The sequence below is a fragment of the Homo sapiens genome, chromosome 1, assembly GCF_000001405.40.
Source record: "Homo sapiens chromosome 1, GRCh38.p14 Primary Assembly".
Classification (NCBI taxonomy): domain Eukaryota; kingdom Metazoa; phylum Chordata; class Mammalia; order Primates; family Hominidae; genus Homo; species Homo sapiens.
Genome location: NC_000001.11, coordinates 9,453,848 through 9,480,126, shown reverse-complemented (window position 1 = coordinate 9,480,126; position 26,279 = coordinate 9,453,848). Strand labels below are relative to the sequence as shown.

Sequence of the window (26,279 nt, the reverse complement as noted above, 5' to 3'; positions counted from 1 at the left end):
CCATCTTTGCTGATCTCCAAGTTAGAATCAAGTGAGGAAGTGGGGGACAGCGGATGACCCTGTCTAACAGCCTCTGGACTCTCACATTGAAAAACACGAATGGGCCGGGTACGGTAGCTCAAGCCTGTAATCCCAGCACTTTGGGAGGCTGAGGTGGGAGGATCACTTTAGGTCAGAAGTTTGAGATCAGCCTGGCCAACATGATGAAACCCCGCCTCTACTAAAAATACAAAAATTAGCTGGGCGTGGTGGCATGCACCTGTAGTCCTAGCTACTTAGGAGGCTGAGGCAGGAGAATCCCTTGAACCAGGGAGGCAGAGGCTGCAGTGAGCTGAGATTGAGCCACTGCACTTCAGCCTGGGCAACACAGCAAGACTCCGTCTCAAAAAAAACACAACAACAACAAAAACCCATGAATGCAGTCACTATGAGAGCGTCAGATAGACTTTGGGTGGTGTTGAAACACCTAGTCAGATCACTGGGGCTGGGGGGAGTGAACTCCACCCCTCCTCCAGCTGTTGGTGTCAGAGGTCTCCCTGTGAGCCGCTGCAGGCAAGGGAGCAGGGGCCTCCAGAGGTTGACCTCAGCAGAAGGAATACTCATCTAATACTGATGGCTGCAGTATTAGAAATTGCATCCTTAAATATGGGACAGAATGGGAACTGGCCGCTTGCTCGGATAAAGGCTGCTGGCATAAATTTAAACTCTGTATCTTTGGAGAAAACTTGGAAAATAACCTCTTTTTTTTTTGAGACGGAGTCTCGCTCTATTGGCAGGCTGGAGTGCAGTGGCGCGATCTCAGCTCACTGCAACCTCCGCCTCCCGGATTCAAGCAATTCTCCTGCCTCAGCCTCCTGAGTAGCTGGGACTACAGGTGCGTGCCACCACGCCTGACTAATTTTTATATTTTCAGTAGAGACGGGGTTTCAGCATGTTGGGCAAGATGGTCTTGATCTCTTGACCTTGACCTCGAGATCCACCCGCCTCGGCCTCCCAAAGTGCTGGGATTACAGGGGTGAGCCACTGAGCCTGGCCTTTTTTTTTGATGGAGTTTTTGCTCTTGTCACCCAGGCTGGAGTGCAGTGGTGCAATCTTGGCTCACTGCAACCTCGGCCTCCTGGGTTCAAGCGATTCTCCTGCCTCAACCTCTTGAGTAGCTGGGATTACGGGCGCATGCCACCATGCCTGGCTAATTTTTGTATTTTTAGTACAGACGGGGTTTCACCATGTTGGTCAGGCTGGTCTTGAACTCCTGACCTCAGGTGATCCACCCGCCTCGGCCTCCCAAAGTGCTGGGATTACAGCGTGAGCCACCATGCCCGGCCAATAACCTCTCTTTTAAAACAGTGTTCCAAGGCATTTTGTTCATTCATTCATTCAACAAAGGTGAATTGAGGTCTTACTATATGGCCCAAGCATGGTACTGGGCAGCCATGGCCAGACACACACCTTGCCCTGAAGAATCCCAGTGTGGCTGTGCAGGGGGCAGACGGGAGACACAGACAGATAACTGACAGGAGCCTGAGGGCAACTGCTGCGAGGAACCACGCATGGGGTTGCGGGGGTCCGGGAGGCCACCTTCCAGATGGAGGAGAGGAGGGCGCTGAGTCAGGGAAGGCTTTTTGGAGGAGGTCACGCCTGAATCGAGTGTGAAAGGATGAGTAAGCGTTTGGGGGCTGGGGAGGGGGCGATGAGAGTGTCCTGGCAAAGGAGACAAGAGCAAGGACCCTGTGGCAGGAGGAAGCGTTGTGTGCGGGTATGCATGTGTGTATATGCACGTGTATATGTGTATGTATATCTGTTGGTGGATATGTGTGTAGCATGCAGGTATGCAGGTGTGTAAATGCATGTGTATATGTGTGTGTATGTCTGTGGGTGCATGTGTGTGTGTAGCATGTGGGTATGCACGTGTGTAAATGCATGTGTATATGTGTGTACGTCTGTGAGTGTATATGTGTGTAGTGTGTAGGTATGCATGTGTGTATATGCATGTGTATATGTGTATGTATGTTGGTGGATATGTGTGTGTAGCATGTGGGTATGCATGTGTGTAAATTCATGTGTATATGCGTGTGTATGTCTGCAGGTGCATGTATGTAGTGTGGGTGTATGAATGTGTGTATATGCATGTGTACACGTGTGTATGTCTGTGGGTGCATATGTGTGTGTAATGTGTGTGTATGCTTGTGTGTAAATGCATGTGCATATGCGTGTCTGTGAGTGCATGTATGTGCATATGTGTGTGTAGCATGTGTGCATGCATGTGTATATGTACATAGGTGTGTATATATGTGTATACATGTGTGTCTGGGTGCATGTGTGTTCATGTGTGTGTAGCATATGTGTATGCATGTGTATGTGTGTGGGTGTGTATGTGTGTGTATATGTGTGTGGGTGCATGTGTATGCACATGTGTGTGAAGCGTGTATGTGTATGCATGCGTGTGTGTGGGTGCATATGTGTGTGTATATGTGCATGTGTCTATGGGTGCATATGTGTGTGTGCATGTGGGTGTGTCATGCATGTGTGTGTGTGAGAATTGTGGAGCTGGTGTGTTAACCGAGAGGCAGGGGTACAAAGCCTGAAAGGGGAGGGAGGACCCCTTAAGAGGGAGGTTGCATTTTATTCCACAAGGAATGGGAAGGTGCCAAGGCAGGAGAGTGAAACTGGAGTCCCCCTTGCCACAAATATTAATCAGGTCTCTTTTAGTTGCAAATTACAGAAATCCAGTTCCAACTAACTTAAGTACAGAAGGTGTTAATGGTTTTCAAAAGTAAACAGCCTCTAAGGCTAGTTCTGCCTTCAGGCAGAGGTGGATCCAGGAGCTCAGGTGATATTGACAAGAATGGGCCTCCCCTTTGTCTCTGCTTTCCTCCGTGTGGGTCTCATTCTCAAGTGGGTGTGCTCTGGGTGGCAGTAAAGGTGGCTGCCAGCGACTCCAGCCTCCTATCCTGCAGATTCAGCAGATGTCCTGAGGGTGTTCTCATGGGCTGGGATTGAGTCATAAGCTCCCCTCAGAAACTGTGCCCTGGGTGGCAGTAAAGGTGGCTGCCAGCGACTCCAGCCTCCTATCCTGCAGATTCAGCAGATGTCCTGAGGGTGTTCTCATGGGCTGGGATTGAGTCACAAGCTCCCTTCAGAAACTGATCATGATGACTCTGATTTGCATGACTTGGGTCATGTGCCTGCCCCTGAAAGCAGGGGGTGAGGCAGTCACCTGGATTGAAGGGAGGTCAGGACAAGGAGAGAAGGGAGCTGTGCAGATGTCTGACTCCATTTGTATGAAATGCCCAGAATGCATAAATCATAGAGACAGAATGCTGACTAGTGGGTGACGGGAGTGATGGGGCATGAGGAGGAGTGACTGCTTCATGGGTAGGGAGTTTCCTTTTTGGGGGGATAAAAATGTTTTGGAATTAGACAGAGGTGATGGTTGCATGACATTGTGATTGTATTAAATGCCACCAAATTGTTCACTTTAATTTTATTTATTTATTTGAGACAGGGTCTCACTCTGTTGCCCAAGCTGGAGTGCAGTGGTGTGGTTACAGCTCACTGCAGCCTCGATCTAGGTCCTAGGCTCAAGCACTCCTCCCCACTTGGGCTCCCGAGTAACTGGGACTACAGGTGCATGCCACCATGCTCAGCTAATTAAAAAATTTTTTTTTTTTTTTTTTTTTAGAGATGGGGTCTCACTATGTTGCTCAGGCTAGTCTTGAATTCCTGGGCACAAGTCACCTCCTGCCTCAGCCTCCCAAAGTGCTGGAATTACAGGTATGAGGCACCACGACTGGCAAACTGTTCACTTTAAAAAGGGTGAATTTTGGCCTGGCATGGTGGCTCATGCCTGTAATTCCAGCACTTTGGGAGGCTGAGGTGGGCGGATCACTTGAGGTCAGGAGTTTGAGACCAGCCAGGCCAACATGGTGAAAGCCCTTCTCTACTAAATATACAAAAATTAGCTGGGTGTGGTGGCAGGCACCTGTGCTCCCAGCTACTTGGGAGGCTGAGGTAGGAGAATTCCTTGAACCTGGGAGGCAGAGGCTGCAGTAAGCTGAGATTGCACCACAGCACTCCAGCCTGGGTGACAAGGCGAGACTCCACTTCAAAAAAAATAATAATAAACTAAAAAAATAAAATAGTGATTTTTATGTAGTGCAAATCTCACCTCAGTAAAAAAATTTTAAAATGACAGTTGTCCCTGCCCCTCATCCCCAGGCATCCTGGGACACTCCCCCATCCATAGGGGCTGCTAGGTGAGGTGACTCCTTTCCTTCCCCTTCTGCCTGTTTTCTCCCCTCTTAAACTTCAGAGGGTTTGGGACCCGCAGTGGATTTTAAGCCAGAGGCTACTACAGGGTAGTTCCAGGCATGGTGGCTGGCAGGGCTGTAGCCCACTGCTGGGACCAAAGGCATGCCTCTGTGGCTTCTCCAGAGGCCAGTTCCTGTATTTTCATGAGATCTCGTCGAGCAAGCTCTAGTGAGGTGCCAGGGACGTCTTGTTCAGAGGTGAGCTGGTGAGTGGGTTTTCCTGGTGGACCTTTAGCCAGCTGCACCTGTGTTCCTCTGGGCTGTGGGCAGAGGGGAGGGTGCTGTCACAACTTAGGGTCCAAGCTGCAGCTCCAGCGGGCCGGGAAGACTTGGAGCAGCGAATTTCCATCATTGCTTGGCGCGGGGGATGCTTGGTGACGCCACCACGAGAAAGGGCTGGGCTTGGGGAGGAGCCATTCACACTGGAATTGTAAAGAGGAAAGAGGGTTTTGGCTCACTTTCTGAGCGAATCCTCCATGCTGGGATTTGGGCAGAGCCCAGAGCTGCCTTGGGGCTCTCCCAGAGCGAGCCTGCACTGGCTCCTTCAGGAACCGGAGTTTCCATCCAAACCCTCTTCCTTGGGTTGCTCAATGCAAGCCGGCCGTGGTGGGATGACGACTTCTGGTCCCCAGCAGGCTGGCACTATGCTTGTCTGGCGTGGACATGGGGACCGGTCCCTTGGGCTGAACTGTGCTCTCTGCTCCTCTCTGATTTTTATTTTCTTTGAGACAGAGTCTCACTGTGTCACCCAGGCTGGAGTGCAGTGGCAGAATCTCAGCTCACTGCAACCTCTGCCTCCCAGGTTCAAGTGATTCTCCTGCCTCTGCCTCCCCAGTAGCTGGGACTACAGGCGTGCACCACCACACCTAGCTAAGTTTTGTATTTTTAGTAGAGACTGGGTTTCTCCATGTTGGTCAGGCTGGTCTTGAACTCCTGACCTCAGGTGATCCACCTTTCTCAGCCTTGCCAAGTGCTGGGATTACAGACGTGACCCACCGAGCCCAGTCTCTGCTCCTTCTTTGAGCTGGAGACAGGCTGAGGTCCGGCCTGGGGGTCTAGTCTGCCTGCGCCCACTATCACCCACTGAATAGGTCAGAATCTCAAGGTGATTTTGCAAGCTCCTTTCAGGGATTTTCCCACAAGTTGAAGTTAGAGAATAACTGGGGTATGGAACCACATTTTTGTTTGTTTGTTTGTTTGTTTTTTAGACAAGGTCTCACTCTGTCAACTAAGCTGAGTGAGGTGGCATGATCACCGCTCACTGCAGCCTCAACCTTCTGGGCTCAAGTGATTCTCTTGCCTCAGCTTCCCGAGTAGCTGGGACCACAGGTGTGCAGCATCAGACTTGGCTAATTTTTGATTTTTTGTAGAGACAGGGGTCTTGCTATGTTGCCCAGACTGGTCTTGAACTCTTGGGCTCAAGTGATCCTCCCACCTCAGCCTTCCAAAGTGCTGGGATTACAGGCGTGAGCCACCGCTCCTGGCCAGGACTAGGTTTTGCTCTTGAAGGCCGAGGATTTCCCACCTGTTTCCCCGCTGCTTGGATGTTGCAGGACAGGAATTCTCGAAGAGGTCAGGTTCTGGCAAAGACAGTATAGTGGTGGGTCCTGGGCCAGGTGACTTGGGTTCAAATCCTGACTCTACCACTTCCCAGCTGAGGGACTCCGTGCAAAGCACTTCACATCACTGGTCCCCAGTTTTCTCATGTGTACGAAGGGGGCACTGATACTGCCCCTCTGTAGTGGGCCCCCATGATTCATGTCCACCCAGACCCTCAGAATTTGACCTTATTTGGAAATAGGGTCTTTGCAGAGGTAATTAATTAAGGATTCTGATATGACATCATCCTGGATGTAGGGTGGGCCCTATATCCAACAGCTGGTGTGCTTATAAGAAGAGGAGACATGGAGGCATTCACAGAGGGGAGACGGCTGTGGGAAGACAGAGACAGAGAGTGGGGTGATGTGGCCACCAGCCGGGGAACGCCTGGAGCCCCCAGAAGCTGGAAGAGGCCAGGAAGGATTCTTTCTTAAAGGCTTCAGAGGGATTGTGGCCCACTGATATCTTGATTTTGGACTTCTCGACTCCTGAGCTGTGAAAGAACTCATTTCTGCTCTTTTAAGCCACACAGTTTATGATGACTTGAAATGGCCGCCCCAGGAAATGAACACACCCTCTCAAAGGACAGTTATCACCCAAAGCCTTTGATACACAGCACATAGTAGGTGCTCAATAAAGAACCACTAGGATCCTTGTGCTGCCTCCTGCAGGGGTGGGAGGTAGGAGGTGTGGACACAGGAAGAGGGACCGTCAGGATAGATCTGTCACTTTTCAGAGCAGCAGCCTGTGGCCCTGGAGGGGACCATCCCGGGGTATCCAGGGGCCCCCAGCTCCTGCCGCTGCTGGGTGTCACCCTTCCCTGCTGGCTGGCGGCTGAGGCTGGAGCCCTTGAAGGACGGAGGCGGAGGGAAAGTGAGGAGTCTGCTGTGAAGGGCAGCTGCAGGGCCGAGGGCCGAGGCCTTCAATAGGGATGCTTGCCGCTGTGAATCATGGCCCACAGGCCAATCGCTGCCTGCTGACACATCACACCCCAGGAGGAGGATGGCTGTGACCTCATGCTGGTTGTCAAACACTCAGGGCCCCTCCCAGCTCTGCCTAGTGCTTCAACTTGGCCCGGAGGGAGCTGTCCCCACCCCACCCCTGCCCAGTGTTGTGTGTTCTCCCCTCCCCTGCACACACAGCAGGACAATCAGACCTTCTGAGCCAAGACTTTAGTGGCGGTTTATGATTTGGATGCTTTGGGAATGGGTGAGGCCAACAGTTTCCACTTCCCTGAGGGCAGCCGAGTTGTAAACCCGAAAAGATGTTCTGCACATCTGCCACAGCTGCCTGGCCAGGGAGCGCTGGGATACGCCTGGGAGGGTGTGTTCCCAGGGCTGGAGTCCTATTCTCTCCTGCCTTCGTCTATAAAAAGAATGATTTGCAGATGGGGAAACTGAGGCCCGGAGGAGTTAAGAACTTGCTATACACCTCCAAGTCAAACGGCATCTTGGCAAGAGAGGCAGGACCACAACTGAGAGTTTATCTTGGGCAAAGCTCTGCTCTGCTTCCTGCACCGGGGTCCTCGTCTTCTCGGGCTCTGTTGGGAATCTCACCTCCTCTGCTTCCTGGTTCCAGGATGGGCCTGAGGCATCTTTTAAGCCTTGGTGATGCTTACTTGTTGGCTTCAAGTTGTGATGGTAAAATAAATAAGCAAGAGGCTTGGGGAGCTCCAACCAGTCCTGCCGGCTGTTCCCAGATTCCCATTCAAAGCTGCGAAAGTGGCTTAAGTATTGTGAAGCCTGGAACTCTCACCTGGCGGGGGGGACAGGGGACAGGGGGCAGGTTAGGGGCTGAATGTGGCCTGGCTCCTGGCCTCTAGACACAGCTCTGTTTTCTTTGCCCTTGCCTTCTGAAGGCAAGCACGTCTCCTGACAGCAGAATTGTAGCTCTCGAACTCCCTCTGTGCCCATCCAGCCTTTACAGGTTGAGCAAACTTCCCCATGCTCAGGATTTGCATTCCTGGCCGCTACATTTCCAGAAAACTGAGCTAGAATTTCAGGAGCGTCTATTCAGAGTGGACGTCTGCAGCGAGCCTGGATCCCTGAGCATCCAGGACACAACCTGCTCCTAACCTGTCCCCTGTCCACCCAGGTGAGAGTTCCAGGCTTCACAGTACTTGAGCCACCTTTGTGGTTTTGAATGGCGACCTGGGAACAGCGGGCAGGACCGGTTGGAGCTCCCCAAGCCTCTTGCGTATTTATTTTACCATCACAACTTGAAGCCAATATTTAAGCATCACCAAGGCAACAGCCCAAATCTCCCGGCCCTTGGCCCCCATCCAGCCCCAAATGGTGGGGATGAGGGCGGGGTGGGGGGAGCAGGGAAAATGAGTCAACCGTCCCCCTGCCCTGCAACCACCTGGGAAAACAGTGACCCAAAAATCAAATCCCGGCTTCTCTTGCAAGGACATTGCTCGTTTTCCCGTGGTCCTACGACGGAGCGCTTTTAACACAGCAGAAGAGTCTCACAAGACCTCGGTGCTAATATTTTATTTTTGCGTTGTGGTTAGAGCCCACAGATTTTAAAAACTTCTTATTGAAGTTTGATATCCATGTACAAAGTGTACAAACCATAAGCATATACCCTTCACAAACTGCAATTTTTGCAAACAGAACACGCCCAGATCAAGGGTAGGCACACAGCCAACCCCCAGGAGTCCTCCTTACTCCCCAGTCCTTGTCACTGTACCCCCAAAGTGAGTGCCATTCTAACTTCTCATAGCACTGGTTGCTTGTTAGTTTATTTGTTTTCTGTTTCTTTTGTAACTTTTAAGTTCTGGGATACATGTGCAGGATGTATAGGTTTGTTACATAGGTAAGCGTGTGTCGTGTTCGTTTGCTGCACAGATCATCCCATCTCCTCACTGGCTACTTTTGCTTGTTTTTGTGCTTTATATAAATGGAATCATACACTCTGTTCTCTCCTGGGTTGAAGCCAGTGGGATTTTTAGGCTTGAGTTGCCCTCCTCACCTCCAGCTCCGGGGAGGAGAGAATAAAGGAAGTAGAAGGCACATTCTTATTTATTTATTTATTTGAGATGGAGTCTTGCTCAGCTGCCCAGGCTGGAGGGCAGTGGCACGATCTTGGCTCACAGCAACTTCTGCCTCCTGGGTTCAAGCGATTCTCCTGCTTCAGCCTCCGAAGTAGCTGGGATTACAGGTGCCTGCCTCCACACCCAGCTAATTTTTGTATTTTTAGTAGAGATGGGGTTTCACTGTGTTGGCCAGGCTGGTCTTGAACTCCTGATCTCAGGTGATCCGCCTGCCTCAGCCTCCCTAAGTGCTGGGATTACAAGCCAAGCCACTGCGCCCGGCCTGAAGGCACTTTCCCTGTGCCCGCAGGCCATGGTCTTAATTATTTTAAAGGGCCCAGCATCATTTTCCCATGTACCGTGTAACTGGGGTTTGTATCCGCCTGGCGTCAGTTTGGAGGATGGAGAGTAGTGCCGCATCACTAACAAGCTTGAGGCGGGTTGAGGGATCTCTGGAACCCTGGCCCCCAAAGCCTTCATTTCTCCTGGCAGGATGCTGGGGGCAGCTCCATAGTCTTTGCAGCCAGGGTATCCCTCCATTGCAGGGTGGGCTCCAGCCACTCCTTTTTTTTTTTTTTTTTTTTTTGAGATGGAGTCTCACTTTGTCCCCCAGGCTGGAGTGCAGTGGTGCAATCTTGGCTCACCGCAACCTCTGCCTCCCAGGTTCAAAGGATTCTCTTGCCTCAGCCTCCCGAGTAGCTGGGATTACAGGCACACACAACCATGCCCAGCTAATTTTTGTATTTTTAGTAGAGACGGGGTTTCACCATGTTGCCCAGGCTGGTCTTGAACTCCTGACCTCAGACAATTCACTGGCCTTGGCCTCCCAAAGTGTTGGTATTAGAGGCGTGAGCCACTGCACCTGGCCGGCCTGCCTGCCTGCCTGCCTGCCTGCCTTCCTTCCGTTCTTTTCTTTCTTTCTTTCCCTCCCTCCCTCCCTTCCTCCCTCTCTTTCTTCTTTCTTTCTTCTTTCTTTCTTTCCTTTCTTTCTTCCTTCCTTTCTTTCTTTCTTTCTTTCTTTCTTTTCTTTCTTTCTTCTTTCTTTCTTTCTTTCTTTCTTCTTTCTTCTTTCTCCTTCCTTCCTTCCTTCCTTCCTTCCTTCCTTCCTTCCTTCCTTTCTTTCCTTTCTCTCTGTCTCTCTCTCTCTTTCTTTCTTTGATGTTTTTGAGATGGAGTTTCGCTCTTATGGCCCAGGCTGGAGTGCAATGGTGCAATCTCGGCTCACTGCAACCTCTGCCTCTCAGGTTCAAGCAATTCTCCTGCCTCAGCCTGCCAAGTAGCTGGGATTACAGGTGAGCACCACCACACCTGGCTAATTTTATATATTTTTTAGTAGAGACATGGGGGGTTTCACTATGTTGGTCTGGCTGGTCTCAAACTCCTGACCTCAAGTGATCCAACCCACCCTGGCCTCCCAAAGTGCTGGGATTACAGGCATGAGTCACCACGCCCAGCCCCTATTTTTTATTTCTTTATTTTTTGAGACAGAGTCTCTCTCTATTGCCTAGGCTGGAGTGCAGTGGTGCAACTTTGGCTTACTGCAATCTCAGCCTCCTGGGTTCAAGTGACTCTCCTGTCTCAGCCTCCCAAGAAGCTGGGACTACAGGCATGCACCACCATGCCTGGCTAATTTTTGTATTTTTAGTAGAGATGGGATTTCACTGCGTTGGCCAGGCTGGCCTCGAACTCATGACCTCAAGTAATCCACCCACCTTGGCTTCCCAAAGTGTTGGGATTATAGGCGTGAGCCACCATGCCCGGCCTTTATTTCTTTTTTGAGATAAGGTCTCATTCTGTCGCCTAGGCTTGAGTGCAGTGGCGCAATCACAGCTCACCACAGCTTCAGCCTCCTGGGCTTAACTGATCCTCCCCTGCCTCAGCCTCCCGAGTAGCTGTGATTAAATGTGTGTGGCACCACACTTGCTAATATTTTGATTTTTTTGTAGAGATGGGGTCTTGGTATGTTGCCCAGGCTGGTCTTGAACTTCTGGGTTCAACTGATTCTCTTGCCTTGGCCTCCCAAAGTGCCAGGATTACACATGTGAGCCACTGCACCCATCCTGCATATGACATTTCAAAAAATATAAGGAGAACAAACATGACAAGGGGAAAAAATGTATCTAAACGTTTCTAACTGCTCTTGATTTCTTTCTTTTTTTTTTTTTTTTTGAGATGGAGTCTCATTCTGTCGCCCAGGCTGGAGTGCAGTGGCACGATCTCTGCTCACTACAACCGCAGCCTCCCAAGTTCAAGTGATTCTTCTGACTCAGCCTCCTGAGTAGCTGGGATTACAGGCAACTGCCACCATGCCCGGCTAGTTTTTTTTGTATTTTTAGTAGAGATAGGGTTTCACCATGTTGGCCAGGTTGGTCTAGAACTCCTGACCTAAGGTGATCCACCCGCCTCAGCCTCCCAAAGTGCTGGGATTACAGGTGTGAGCCACCGCACCCGGCCAACTAACTCTTGATTTCTGTACTTACTTTGTGGCAGACTAGCGGCAAACCATCAGTCGACCAGGAGCAGGTCTGGGGACCACACTTCGAGTCCACCGCCTTGAACCAGCCCTCTGCCCGTGGCTGACCTGGAAGGACTGCAGTTCGTGACTGCCCTGTGGGCTCCTTTGTGGCTCCTTGGTGTCCCCATCTTCGTTCTGATTCTGTCTTTGTTGCTTTAGCTGAAGTGAAAGAGACAGAAACCTCTGCCCACCTCTTGTGGGGTCCTTGCCCCAAGGCTCCAAGCACACAGCCCTTGCTGTCTTAAGTTTCTTCTAGATGCTTAGGGGTCACACGCAGCTTCTTTTGGCCTGTTGTGGCTTCTTCCTCTCTGATGTGGGACAAGTTCCCTCAGGAGCTGGATAGGACCACAATACAGGTTGACGAGGACCATGTCCCTGCCGGTCCTCTCTTCCCCTGATGTCTTGCACAGAATATTGCACGCGGTCTCTCTCCTTGGGGGCTGCTGGGGGCGAGGGATGGGGCGGTCTCTGGAGGGTGGAGGAAGCATCTTTGCCCCCACCCTGCTCAAGCATCTTAGTCCTGTGGTTCAATCCCAAGCCCATCCATCCTGTGGCCTCTTAGGACTGGTGTGAGCCGGCAGCCTCGTTCTGGCCAAGGTCACTGCCAGGTACGTAACCGAGCCCCCCACGCCCTGGTTGCCCTCTCTATTCTTGCAGGATATTCATAGCCGTGGTGCCTCTTTCTCCAGAGAGACCTGTAAGCTTCTTGTCTTCCCTCCCTGTCTACCTCTGTGGCCATCCACAGCCTCTTCTTGGCTCAACCTTCATTCACTTCCTCTGGCTCCAGGTACCACCAAACTCATCTTACCAGCATGACACGAGTATGTGTGGGACAGAATATAGGAAGGGGGCTGGTGAGAGGAGGGGGTGCGTTTTCCACGTGAGATTGGACTTCTTGGGGGCTTCTTTTGGGACAGACAGCTTGGTGAGGACGCCAGCCCAGGAGAGACACACGCAGGACCAGGGGTGTTTGGATTGACGAGCTGTCAGCGTCCTCGCTGTTATACAAGCCTTCTTGCTTTTTCCTTTCCTCTCCTCATTCTTCTGCTTGCTTGCTTTTTTTCTTTTTAATAACCCTGACTGCATATTTTCTCTAACCCAAACCATCTGTTTACTAGCTTTTATAAGCAGTAATAAAAACAGTGAGGACCCAAGAGCTGTTTGGGTCCAAGGCACTTTCTCCAGTTGTCTCTCCGGGCAGCCTAAGGAAGAGGTTAAATGCCGCAGTGCGGGCCCAGAGATGACGTTTCCAGCAGGGTCCTTTCCTTCCACCTGAAGTTGCCTGTGCAAAGCCGGGTCTCTTTGGAGAGGCTTGGCAGAGCCGTGGCTGCCTTCCTTTCATTTGCTCCCTTTTCTGCAGTTCTATCTGAGGACCTTTGGGTCACCTGCCTGCGGCAAGCTGCCTGCTGCAGAGGGAGCTGGCGTGGAGGAGCTGGGAAATGAGGTGGCTGTGCAAACTCGGGCTTCAGAGGTGCCAAGAGATCACTCGGAGGGAATGTACTGAGCTGTGAGGACGGGCGAGCCCGGGAAAACAATTCGACAACAATGCCGAGCGCCTAGGTGACAGGGAAAAAAAAGGGAGTCTGTTTGGGAATGGATTTCGGCCTCCACTTCCAAAGCATTAGTAATTCAAGCAGCAGTGAGTGTAATATTTACTTGGGAAACTATGAAAAGTCATATAACAATGTTCTTTTAACAGCTTTCATCATCGGCTTGCTGGGTTCCGAGTGTAGTCTGCCACCTAATCATAAACAGAGGCTCGCGCTGCCATCTGGCAGCAAGGCGTGTGTGTGCTGCTGTCGGCTGGGACTTGGGGCCCATCCTATGTGAGGTGTCCTCCATCACAGACACAGAGTCAGGCGCTGGGCCCCAGGAGGTCACTGTGGTGAAGGACGGCACAACTCACCTCTTCCACCACGAAAAAATCAGAGATGATGGCGCTGGCAGCTTCCATGTCTAGCCCAGCAAGCAGGCCAGAGAGGAGATGAAATCTTAGTTCAACAAAACTCTGCTTTTTAATTAAATTGCTTTTTTTTTTGTTTTAGACAGAGTCTTGCTCTGTTGTCCAGGCTGGAGTACAGCGATGTAATCTCGGCTCACTACAGACTGTGCCTCCTGCATTCAAGTGATTCTTGTGCCTCCTGAGTAGCTGGGATTACAGGGGTGCGCCACCACTCCTGGCTAACTTTTGAAGTTTTAGTAGGAAGGGGGTTTCGCCATGTGGTCAGGCTGGTCTTGAACTCCTGGCTTCAAGTGATCTGCTTACCTCGGCCTCCCAAAGTGCGGGGATTACAGGTGTGAGCCACCACACCCTGCCTAAATTACATTTTGTTTTATCTTATTTAATTTTTTTGTGGGGGAGAAGGATAGGAAGTGAGCGGTAGTGTGGCCAACCATCCCGGTTTGCCTGGGACTGGGAGGGTTCCAGGGCTACAGGACTTTCTGTACGGAAACCCAGAGACTAAGCAAACCAGACTGAGTTGGTCACTGTAGAGGGAGGGGACGTCCACAGAGTGGGAAGAAGCACAGGTTTCATGGTCAGCGTGCACAATTTGCCCCATGAAAATTAGGGAACCTCCCCAGGGTTTATCTCTAAAAGGCATATTTTGGGGAGTGGTGCAGGCAGGGGAGAGGGCAGATATTAGGGCATTGGGGCTCTGTGTGGGTGGCAGCACCAAGGGGACCTGCAGAAGAGGCTCCTCCACCCTGCACATCCCACCATCGGCCAGGAGGGGTGCGGGCCTGGGCTGCCAGATGGCTGATTTTTAAAAAAATGTTTGTGAAAGCTACCAAATTCTGAAACGTTGGCTCACACCTTCAGGACATCCTGTATAGGCCACACAAACACATCTGATTGCCAAGTTGGCCTCTGGGCAGCCGGTTTGCAACCTCTGCACCGTACCTTTTCTAAGTTTCCCGTCAGTTCTAGAGTTCAGCGACTATCCAAACTCCAGCCAGCCACACTCCCAGGCAATATGTGGTGTACTTTGAGGAAGAACGAACAAATACACGTGTTTTAAAAGCTGATGTCGGGCTGGCTGTGGTGGCTCACTCCTGTGATCCCAGCACTTTGGAAGGCATGAGCCACCATGCCCAGCCTAAATTGTACATTTTAAAGCGGTGAATTTTATGGTATATAAATTATATCTTGATTTAAAAATACACCGTGGCTCATGCCTGTAATCTCAGCATTTTGGGAGGCCGAGGCTGGTGGATTACCTGAGGTCAGGAGTTTGAGACCAGCCTGACCAACATGGCGAAACCCTGTCTCTACTAAAAATACAAAAAATTAGCCGGGCGTGGTGGCGCATGCCTGTAATCCCAGCCACTCAGGAGGCTGAGGCAAGAGAATCGCTTGAACCCGGGAGGTGGAGGTTGCAGTGAGCCAAGATTGTGCCATTGTACTCCAGCCTGGGTGACAGAGTGAGACTCCGTCTCAAAAAAAACAAAAAAAAAACCCCAAAAAATCATAAAAAACAAAAATATACCGTTCGGATGTTAATTCTCTCCAAAATTTCACTCCAAGTTGATCTACAGATATGTAACCCCAATTCCAGCAAGATTTTTTTTCTTTTTTTTTTTTTTTTAGAAATGAACAAAATTGAGTCAGGCGCAGTGGCTCACTCCTGTAGTCCCAGGACTTTGGGAGGCTGAGGCAGGCGGATCACCTGAGGTCAGGAGTTTGAGACCAGCCTGGTCAGTATGGTGAAATCCCATCTCTACTAAAAATACAAAAATTAGCCAGGCATGGTGGTGCACACCTGTAATCCCAGCTACTTGGGAGGCTGAAGCAGGAGAATAGCTTGAACCTTGGAGGCAGAGGTTGCAGTGAGCTGAGATCATGCCATTGCACTCCAGCCTAGGCAACAAAGCCAGACTCTGTCTCAAAAAAAAAAAAAAAAAAAAAGAGATGGACAAAATTGATTCCAAAATTCGAATGGAAATGCACAGGACATAGAATTGCCAAAACAACTTCGGTAAACAACAAAGTAGGAGGGCTTACACTATCTGATTTCAGGTCTTATTATATAGCTATGATAATCAAGGCAGTATGGTACTGATGTAAAGACAAATAGATAAATGGAACAGAATAGAGAACCCGGAAATAGACCCACATTAAAAAGTACAACAGATTTTCAACAAAGGTTCAAAGGCAATTCAGTGTGGCCGGGCGCAGTGGCTCACGCCTGTAATTCCAGCACTTTGGGAGGCTAAGGTGGGCAGGTGACTTGAGGTCAGGAATTCGAGACCAGCCTGGCCAACATGGAGAAACCCCGTCTCTACTAAAAATACAAAAATTAGCCAGGCGTGCCTGTAATCCCAGCTACTTGGGTGCCTGTAATCCCAGCTACTCGGGTGGCTGAGGCGGGAGAATCACTCAAACCCAGGAGGCAGAGGCTGTAGAGCCGAGATTGCACCACTGCACTCCAGCCTGGGCGACAGAGCAAAACTCTGTCTCAAAAACAAACAAACAAACAAAAAACAAAGGCAATTCAGTGGGAAAAGTATGGTCATTTCAACAAATGTGTTAGAACAACTGAATATCCATATGTGAAAAAATGAGTCTCGATTCACACCCTGTACCATATAAAAATATTAATTCAAAGTAGACCTAAATGGGCTGGGCGCGGTGGCTCACGCTTGTAATCCCAGCACTTTGGGAGGCTGAGGTGGGCGGATCACGAGGTCAGGAGATCGAGACCATCCTGGCTAACAGGGTGAAACCCCGTCTCTACTAAAAATACAAAAAATTAGCCAGGAGTTGTGGCGGGCGCCTGTAGTCCCAGCTACTCGGGAGGCTGAGACAGGAGAATGGTGTGAACCTGGGAGGCGGAGCTTGCAGTGAGCGGAGATCAAGCCACTGCTCTCCAGCCTGGGCGACAGAACGAGACTCCGTCTCAAAAAAAAAAAAACAAAGTAGACCTAAATGTAACTAAATGTAAGACTTAAAAGCACAAAACTTCTAGAAGAAAACATAGGAAAAAACTTTGTAACCTTGAGTTAGGCAAAGGTTCCTTAGATACAGTAGCAAAAGTATGATCCATTAAAGAACAAATAGAATTCTACTTAATGAAAAGTTAAAACTTTTTTTTTTTTTTTTTTTTGAGACAGAGTCTTGCTCTGTCACCCAGGCTAGAGTGCAGTGGTGCGATTTCAACTCACTGTAACCTCCGCTTCCCAAGTTCAAGCGATTCTCTTGCCTCAGCCTCCTCAGTAGCTGGGATTACAGGCACGTGCCACCACGTCTGGCTAATTTTTGTATTTTTAGTAGAGATGAGGTTTCACCATATTGGTCAGGCTGGTCTCGAACTCCTGACCTTGTGGTTTGCCTGCCTCAGCCTCCCAAAGTGCTGGGATTACAGGTGTGAGCCACAGCGCCCAGCTACTTTGTGTTTTTTTTAAGACAGTATGAAGAGAGTGACGAGAAAATATTTGTAAGTCATATATCTAATAAAGGATTTGTATTCAAAATGTATAAATAACTCTCAAAAGTTAGTAAGAAAACAGCTCATTTAAAAAATGGACAGATTGGGCATGGTGACTCACACCTGAAATCCCAGCACTTTGGGAGGCTGAGGGATTGCTTGAGCTCAGGAGTTCAAGACCAGCCTGGGCAACATAGTGAGACCCTGTATCTACAAAAAGTCAAAAAATTAGCTGGGCACGGTGGCGCATACCTACAGTCCCAGCTACTTGGGAGGATGATTTGAGCCAGGAGGTTGAGGCTGCAGTGAGCTGTGATGGTACCACTGCACTCCAGTTTGCGTGACAGAGCGAGACACTGTCTCAAAAAATAAAAATAAAAATGGACAAAATGTTTGAACAAACAACTGCTTATTTATTTAATAAGTCTATATTTTGCTTATTGGATGGCCAATTAGCATATAAGAAAGTACTAAAATCATTAGTTGTTAGGGAAATGCAAATTAAAGCCACAAAGTGATACTGCCATCTGCCTACTGGAATGGCTTAAATGGAAAAGACTGACCATACTAAGTACTGGTGAAGATGCGGAGAAACTGGAACTCTCATTCTTTGCTGGCGGGAATGTAAAATAGTACAACCACTTTCAAGAACAGCTCAGCAGTTTTTTAAAAAAGTTAAACATAGCTGGGCATGGTGGCTCACACCTGTAATCCCAGCACTTTGGGAGGCCGAGGTGGGCAGATCACCTGAGGTTGGGAGTTCTCGACTAGCCTGACCAACATGGAGAAACCCCATCTCTGCTAAAAATACAAAAAAATTAGCCGGGCATGGTGGTGGGCGCCTGTAGTCCCAGCTACTTGGGAGGCTGAGGCAGGAGAATCACTTAAACCCAGGAGGCGGAGGTCGAGGTGAGCCGAGATTGCGCCATTGCACTCCAGCCTGGGCAACAAGAGCAAAACTCTGTCTCAAAAAAAAAAAAAAATGTTAAACACACACCTGCCATATGACCTAGGCATTCTACTGCTAGGTACTTACCTCACCGTAAGTACTTACCTAAAAGAAAAGGAAATATATGTCCACATGAAGACTTGTACACAGATGCTCACAGCAGCATTATTTGTAACAAGCAAAAACTGGAAATAAGTTGAATGTTCATCAGCAGGTGAATGGATAAACAAATTGTGGCATATCTGTACACTGGACTATTGACAAAGAAAAAAAGAATTACGGATACACATGACAACATAGATGAATTTCAAAATATGCTGAATGAAATAAGTCAGGCAGAAAGAAGTATATACCTGTGTTTATTTGCTAGGGCTGCCAAAAGGAAGCACTGCCGACAGGGTAGCTTAAACAATAGAAGTTTATGTTCTCACAATTGTAGGGGCTGGAAGTCTGAGATCGAGGTGTCGACAGGCTTGGTTTTTCTGAGGCCTCTGTCTTCACCATGTAAATGGGCCTTCTGACGGCCTCACATCATTGTCCCTCCACATATGTCTGTGTCCCAATCTCCTCCTGTTTTTTTTTTCTTCTTCTTCTTCTTTTTTTTTTAATAGATTGAATATATTTTGCCTTTTTTTTTGAGACAGGGTCTCACTTTGTCATCCAGGCTGGAGTGCAGTGACGTAAACACTGCTCACTGAAGCCCTGACCTCCTGGGCTCCAAGTGATCCTCCCACCTCGGCCCACCAAGTAGCTGGGACTACAGGCGTGCATCACCACACCAGGCTAATTTTTGTATTTTTTGTAGATACAGGGTCTTACTATGTTGCCCAGGCTTGTCTCGAACTTCTGGGCTCCCAAAGTGCTGAGATTGCCGGTGTGAGCCACTGCGCCTGGCCAATTTCCTCTTCTTATAAGGACATCAATCATATTGGGTTGGGGCCCACCCTAATGACCTCATTTTAGCTTAATTACCTTTTTGAAGACACTGTCCTTAAATACAGTCACATGCCGAGGTACTGGGGGTTAGGACTTCAATGTATGAATTTCAGGGGGACACAAGTCAGCTCATGGCAATACTGTATGATACATTTACATCAAACTCTAGAAAATGCAAACTACTCCACTGTGAGAGGAAGGAGACCCTGGTTTCCTCGAGAGGGAGGAGAAGGGGAGATGGAGTAAGGGATGACAGTGGGACTTGAGGCGACTTTTGGGAGTGCTGGATGTCTCCGTTATCTTGATTGTGGATATGTCTTCATAGGTGCACACCTACGTCAAGAGTTATCAATTGTACACTTTAAATACATGCTGTTTATTGCACGTCAATTATTCATTATATGTTATACCTTAACCAAACTAGATTTATTTATTTATTTATTTTTAAAGTGGAGTCTCACTCTGTTGCCCAGGCTGGAGTGCAGTGGCATGATCTTGGCTCACTGCAACCTCTGCTTCCCAGGTTCAAGCAATCCTCTTGCCTCAGCCTCCCAAGTAGCTGGGACTACAGGCATGCGCCACCACACCCGGCTAATTTTTGTATTTTTAGTAGAGAAGGGTTTCACTATGTTGGCCAAGCTGGTCTCAAACTCCTGGTCTCAAGTGATCTGCCTGCTTTAGCCTCCCAAAGTGCTGGGATTACAGGCATGAGCCACCATGCCCAGCCAATAAAGCTATTTTTAACAAGCAGGATTTTGAGGTCTAATTCTAGAGAGCAGTCTCTGCTGAGTATCCTGGGCCTGGGACCCTTCTGGCTCTGCCATGTCCACAGCTGTCTCCCAGGGCCTCCGTGGGTGAGGGGGTCTCCTCTGCCTGCTCACCCGCCTCGGGCCACGCTGCCCATTACTCACTGTCCTGCAGTCCAGGGGCCTTTCAGTGCCTCACACAAACCTAGCCTCTTCCTCCCCCAGGGAGGATGCTGACCCCTCTGTCTGGGCTGTTTCTCCTCCCATGGCCACGCCCTCATTGCCTCCTCCTGCTCCAGGTCTCAGGGACACCTTCTGTGCTTGGCAAGATTCTAAACATTCCCTCCCCGCCCGGCCCATTTTATGTCCTTATCCTGGAGCCTGTGACTGTGCCGTCACTCCTGGGCTGCATTATGGCTTATGACATGGTTAACCTGAAGACTGGAAGACGGAGATCATCCTGCTGGCCAAAGCTAATTGCACAAGACTGTGAAGCAAAGAGCAGTTTTTGGCTGGTGCAGAGGAGGAAGCCGGAGAAATTCAAAGCGAGAGACAGACCCGAGGTGCCACTGCTGCTTTGAGGATGGAGGAAGGAGAGTGCTCCTGAGTAGCTGAGGGCAACCCTGGCTGATGGCCAGCAAGGGGGCAGGGACCTGGGTCTGACAACTGCAGGAAGCTGGATTCTGTCAGCACCTGGAATGAGCTTGGAAGTGGATTCTTTCTCCGAGGCTCCAGAGGGGAGCCTGATCCAGCCGACACCTTGATCTTGTCCATGTGAGACCCTGACCACAGAACCCAGTTGAGCCCACCCAGATTTCTGACCCCTAGAATGCTGAGCTCTGAAGCGGATGTTCTTTGAAACTGCTGAGTTTGAGGTTATTGGTAATTGACAGCAAGAGAAAACGGATACACTTCTGCAGAGAGGGGTTTTCTGGCTACACCACCTGGAGCACTGTCCCCACCTTTGCTATTTTCTCTCAGCCCCTCTTTGGTACCTTCAAAGCACAATTATGGCTCACCGCAGTCTCCACCTCCCAGGCTCAGGTGATCCTCCCACCTCAGCCTCCCAAGTAGTTGGGACCACAGACATGCACCACCATGCCTAGCTAATTTTTTGCATATTTGGTAGGGACAAGGTTTCACCATGTTGCCCAGGCTGGTCTCGAACTCCTGAGCTCAAGCGATCTGCCCATCTTGGCCTCCCAAAGTGCTGGGATTACAGGTGTGAGCCACTGTGCTTGGCCCAAAATGGGACTTTAAAAATTATTATTACCTTCAGCTAACCAGAGCAGCCAGTCAACCAACTCCCCCTGCTAAAATGGAAATTTAACTGTAGGACTTGTTCAGGCTTTTTCTGGAAAGATCCAGTTATACTGGTATTATTTGTCAAACAGGACTGACTAATTCTTAGGACTCCTAAAAGGTGAATAGAGGTAGAAAATAGCCTGATAGTTCCTCAATAGGTTAAACATAGAATTACCATATACTCCAGCAATTTCACCCCTATGTATAGACCCAAGAGAATTGAAAACATATGCCTAAACAAAATCGTTTCTGTGGTTATAAAAATAGTAGGGAAAAAAAGAAACAAAAGGAAATTTAAAAAATCATGTACACAAATATTCTTAGCAGCGTCATTCATAACAACAGCCAAAAAGTGGGCTGAGTGTGGTGGCTCATGCCTGTAAACCCAGCACTTTGGGAGGCCGAGGTGGGAGGATCACCTGAGGTCAGGAGTTTGAGACCAGCCTGGCCACCATGGCAAAACCTTGTCTCTACTAAAAATACAAAAATTAGCTGGGCGTGGTGGTGGGTGCCTGTAATTCCAGCTACTTGGGAGGCTGAGGCAGGAGAATTGCTTGAACCTGGAAGGTGAAGGTTGCAGTGAGCGGAGATCACACCACTGCACACCAACCTGGGCAATAGAGAGAGTCTATCTCAAAAAAAAAAAAAAAAAAAAAGCTGAAAAGTGGAAAAAACCCAAACGTCCATCAGTTGATGAATGGGTAATTAAAATGTTCTATGTCCATACAGTGGAAAATTATTCAGCCATGAAAAGGAAAGAAGCACTGGCATATGGTACAGTGTGGATGAGCCTGGAGAACATTATGGCAACTGAGAGAAGCCAGACACAAAAGACAGCATGTTCTCTGATTCCATTTATATAAAATGTCCAGGCCGGGCTCTGTGGCTCACGCCTGGAATCCCAGCACTTTGGGAGGCTGAGGTGGGAGGATTCCTTCAGCCCAGGTGTTTGAGACCAGCCTGGGCAATATACCGAAACCCTGTTTTTATAAAAAATGAACAAAATTAAGTGGGCATGGTGTCGCATACCTGTAGTCTCAGCTATTTAAGAGGCTGAGGTGGGAGGATCACTTGAGCCTCGGAGGTTGAGGCTTCAGGGAGCCAAGATAATGCCACTGCACTCCAACCCTCAGAGACAGAGTGAGACTCTGTCTCCATCAAAAAAAAAAAAAAAAAAAAAGTCCAGAATAGGCAAATTCATAGAGATAGAAAGTATGTTAGTGTTTGCAGTGAGCTGAGATCACACCACTGCACTCCAGCCTAGGGGACAGAGTGAGATTCCATTTCAAAAAAAAGCTGAGCACGGTGGCTCACACCTGTAATCCCAGCACTTTGGGAGGCTGAGGTGGGTGGATCACTTAAGTTCAGGAGTTCAAAAGTAGATTAGTGGTTTCCTAGGGCTGGTGAGTGTTGGGGTAGGATTGGGGAATGATGGTTACAGGTTGCAGGGGTTCTGTTCTGTTCTGTTTTGTTTTGTTTTGTTTTGTTTTGTTTTGTTTTGTGACGGGGTCTCACTTGGTCACCCAGGCTGGAGTGCAGCGGTGTGATCATGGCTCACTGCAGCCTCGACCTCCCAGGCTCAAGCAATCCTCCCACCTCAGCTTCTCCGGTAGCTGGGACTACAGCTACCTGCCACCATGTCCGGCTAATTTTTGTAGTTTTTTTTTTTCCAGTAGAGATGGGGTTTCACCATGTTGCCCAGGCTGGTCTTAAACTCCTGAGCTCAGCTGATCCTTCTGCCTTGGCCTACCAAAGTGCTGGCATTACAGGCATGAGCCACTGTGCCCGGTCGGTTGTAGGGTTTCTTTTGGAGGGCTAAAAATGTTCAAAAATGGGTTGTCCTGATGGTCGCACAGCTCTGTAAATATACTAAAGCACTGTGTGTTTAAAAGGGTCAATTGTAGGGCCTGTGAATTACTACTCAATAAAAAATTGTGTGCCACGGAAGTAAAACTAAAAAAAGTGGATAAGGGTGAGAGCGGTAGGCATTTTGGAGATGAGGAACGGAAGCATCGGTGGAGGAAGGAGTTGGGGACACAGCTTCAGTGCAGTCCCCCTCACCATGTCCCCGTTCAGAGGGCAGACCCTCCCCACCAACACTCCCACCAAGACTCTGAGTCTAAGAAAACTCTTATTTTCCTGATCCACCATGAGTACAGGATGCTTTCAAGTTTCATCACTGGTGTTCTTGTACTTCAAGAAAACAAAAAACAAAAAACCTCTCTAAAATGTGGTGCGTTGAAGCCAGGGAGTAAATGCAACCTGTAGATCTTCAGGGGGATTGATGACGTCATGATGGAATCTTCTGAATTTCTTTCTCAGGCTCCCCCCTGGGCCTTCCAAGACCTGACTCATGGACCTTCAAACCCTCTGCAGGGGCTGGGTGGGCCAGCAACCTCCAGGTGTGAGCGCCAGGGCACAGGGAGGTCATTCTTGCCCAATCCCCAATGGAGGCCGTGTCTCATCCCTCCAGGAAACTGCAGAAAGTTCGGAAGGACCCCCCCCCCACGCTGAACCACACATATGGCACAGACAGGAATTCCTTCTTGATTCCCAGTGGCTCCAGGTTCACGCCTAGAGTGCCCCTTATCAATGCTACAGAGCGATAGATGTGATTTATGGGAATCAAATCACCCAGCCTTGGATGAGAAGCTCAGTCTGAGACCTGGAATTATCAGGCAAGTAAGTCCGAGCTTGGAGAGATTTCTTGAAGCATTAGTGCCGTGTCCAGAACTCCCTACAACTTTCTTTAGGCCTTGAGTCGGGTCCTGGGAAGGACAGAACCCTCTTCTTTGGCCTTTCAAAATATTTCCACCAGACCCAGAGGAAAAGTCCTGGTGTTGGGTTGTCCCAAGACCATCTCTTTCACAAGCCTTAGAACTCATTTTTATTTTCCCTGACATTCTGGATAATGATGTTTGACAAGTACTTTTATTCCAGATGAGAGATGCTTGGGCCAACCTGGAGGCTGCCTGATGTCTGCTCAGTCTTAACCTGGAGACAGGTCCTGCTGCTGCAGCGATGGCTGGGTAGGATGGCGTTACGGCCTCTTTTCCCGGGGCAGCACCTGGGGCCAGGAGGCCTAAGCCCCGTTGGCCTTCCAGCTTTGGGTTGCTCTCAGCCCTTTGCCCGCCTGTGCATCTCCAGCTGGGATAAGCACCTCTCTCCTAATTTGGCTGGAATCTAAATGAGGTCTTCCAACATGCAACCACATCAGCTCCATGTTGCCCAAAGGGGCAGACTCCGTGCAAAGCTCTGAGCCTTAGGCTGTGCGCCGTGGGGTCTTTACAGCAGGGGGACACCCAGGCTGGGCTCCTGGGAGGGACTCAGCCCCACTCTCGCCAGAGGGCGCCACACTCCTCCTTTATCACCATCCTGGCCTCGCTTCCGAGTTTCAGAGGCTCAGGAGAGGGGTCGGGCAGCCCTTCCAGGGAGAATTCTCACAGCTGCACCACTCTGCAAACGACTCACAGGCGTTGCAGTTTCCTATCGGGTCGCTGAATGATTTTATGAGGGAAAAACAGCTGACCTGGCCATGGCTCTTCTTCCATAAAATAATCAATTTTTGTATTTAGCAACAGCAGGCCACAAACCGAGTTTCTTCCTTGGCTTCCATTCCAGTTTATGAGTCAAAAATAATTTTCCCCTTTTGCAAGTCCAACATCGATCCCACTTGGAAGCCGCGGTGGTCAAGAGATTCCTCAGAAATGAACCTGACAAAATGGAGCTGGTGACAGTTTTCCTTTCTCTAAAAAACTTCTACCGAAACAGACTCTATTAATCGCGGGTGCAGCTACTATTCCAAGAAACTGCGTGAAGACATTTTTTTCTTTCTCAGTAGCTGTTCATCACCGTGAAGGAGACGATGACGAGGTTCCCAACCCAAGCACTGGGCTACGCGCCTCTTCCACGCTGCACGAGACGAGGTTGGTCCAGGCACGGAATTTCCATGGCCCTAGCTCTCGCTGTGCATGGGGGTCATGAGTGAAAGCTGCTCAGAGCATTTTTTGAGGGAGCCCAGCCCAGGAACCCTGTGGGTTGAGTGGTGAAGCCAGAGATGGGGTTTCACCATGTTGGCCAGGCTGGTCTCAAACTCCTGACCTCAAGTGATCCACCTGCCTCGCCCTCCCAAAGCGCTGGGATTACAGGCATGAGCCACTGTGCCCAGCCCGGAATTCCATTTTAAAAGGCCAGAGGTTTAGGGGTTTTGGTTTGAAACGGCAAATGAATGCATATACTTAACCCTTCCTCTAAACTCCATCAAAATAACAGCAAAGAAATTTTTAAAAACTGTAATCCTACAACAGCAGAGATTAGCAGAGGAAGTTAATCAATTAAAATTTTTTTTTTTTTTTTTTTTTTTTGGAGACGGAGTCTTGCTCTGTTGACCAGGCTGGAGTACAGTGGCGCAATCTCAGCTCACTGCAACCTCCGCCTCCTGGGTTCAAGCAATTCTTGTGCCTCAGCAGAAAGGTAGGGAGCTTGATTCCCTGACCGGGTGACTAAGGGGTAGGGGGTTATGTCACAAAATATACGTGCCTATGAACGTGTGTGCACATGTTTGAGTGTGTGGTGTGAGTGCACATGTGCGCTCATGTGTGTTAAAGTCACACGGATGCAAATCAGGGTTGCCCTTCTCCTAGTGTCTGCCTGGAGGTGTGGGCGTCCACACGCATAGGCAGTCTCCTTTGTTGGCTCTTGCGCCTGCGTCTTTTGTAAATTTCCTGAAGGTGACCGGTCTCACTGCACCTCTCCCTGTAGATGATGCCACCAGGGACAGGGGGCTGGCCCTACTGTGCCCTCCCACCCATGCGCTCCAGGAAGCTATGGACGTCGGGCAGGGCAGCCCGGGAGGCCTCATAATCTAGGTGTTTTGGTTGCAGGAGTTCCCGGGCCACTCCTGGAACAGCCTGGGTCCCTGGACCTCAAAAGCAGCGCTTGCATCCTTGAGGGTCTCTAAGGCTCAGCTTGGCCCCTTTGTCCTCTGGGGATCCATGTTTTGGCCACCACTGCCCCGAATGGCACTGGCCTCTGTGCACACCATGCCCTTTGGCATGGTTTAAGCAAGTTTTTGTCCTTTGACATTTTTACAACAGAGATTTCATTTGGCGGTGGGAGTGGGGGAGGGCTGTGGGGAGGAGACGGAGTTGAAGGCAGAATAACTCATTCCTCATCCTAGTCCTTCCTCCTGGAGCCCTCTCTGTAAGCTGCGCTGCTCATTTTATAAAAGCAAGGAGAGCTTAGCTCTTCCCATGGGATTACTTAATCTCAGAATAGATGACGACCAGATGGCCTTTAACTGGATGGACTACATTTAGTCCTGCTACCTCTGTCCTGTTCCTTCTCATCTCACTGCACATCTGTGAACGTGTCCTCAGGCCTGGCGTGCCCTGCAGACCTGGGACCTCTCTCCCACGCACTCTCCCTCCTCCATCTCTGGGCTGTGTCCACCTCTGGCG

The 26,279-nt window shown here is 49.6% G+C and overlaps 1 annotated feature.

Annotated features, from left to right (window-relative positions):
* Positions 6,264 to 6,815: an enhancer, noted in NCBI's record as "H3K4me1 hESC enhancer chr1:9533371-9533922 (GRCh37/hg19 assembly coordinates)". NCBI's record gives its function as "activates a minimal SCP1, AML or CMV promoter by ChIP-STARR-seq in primed H9 embryonic stem cells {active_cell/tissue: H9 hESC(primed)}" and the evidence as "EXISTENCE:reporter gene assay evidence [ECO:0000049][PMID:30033119]".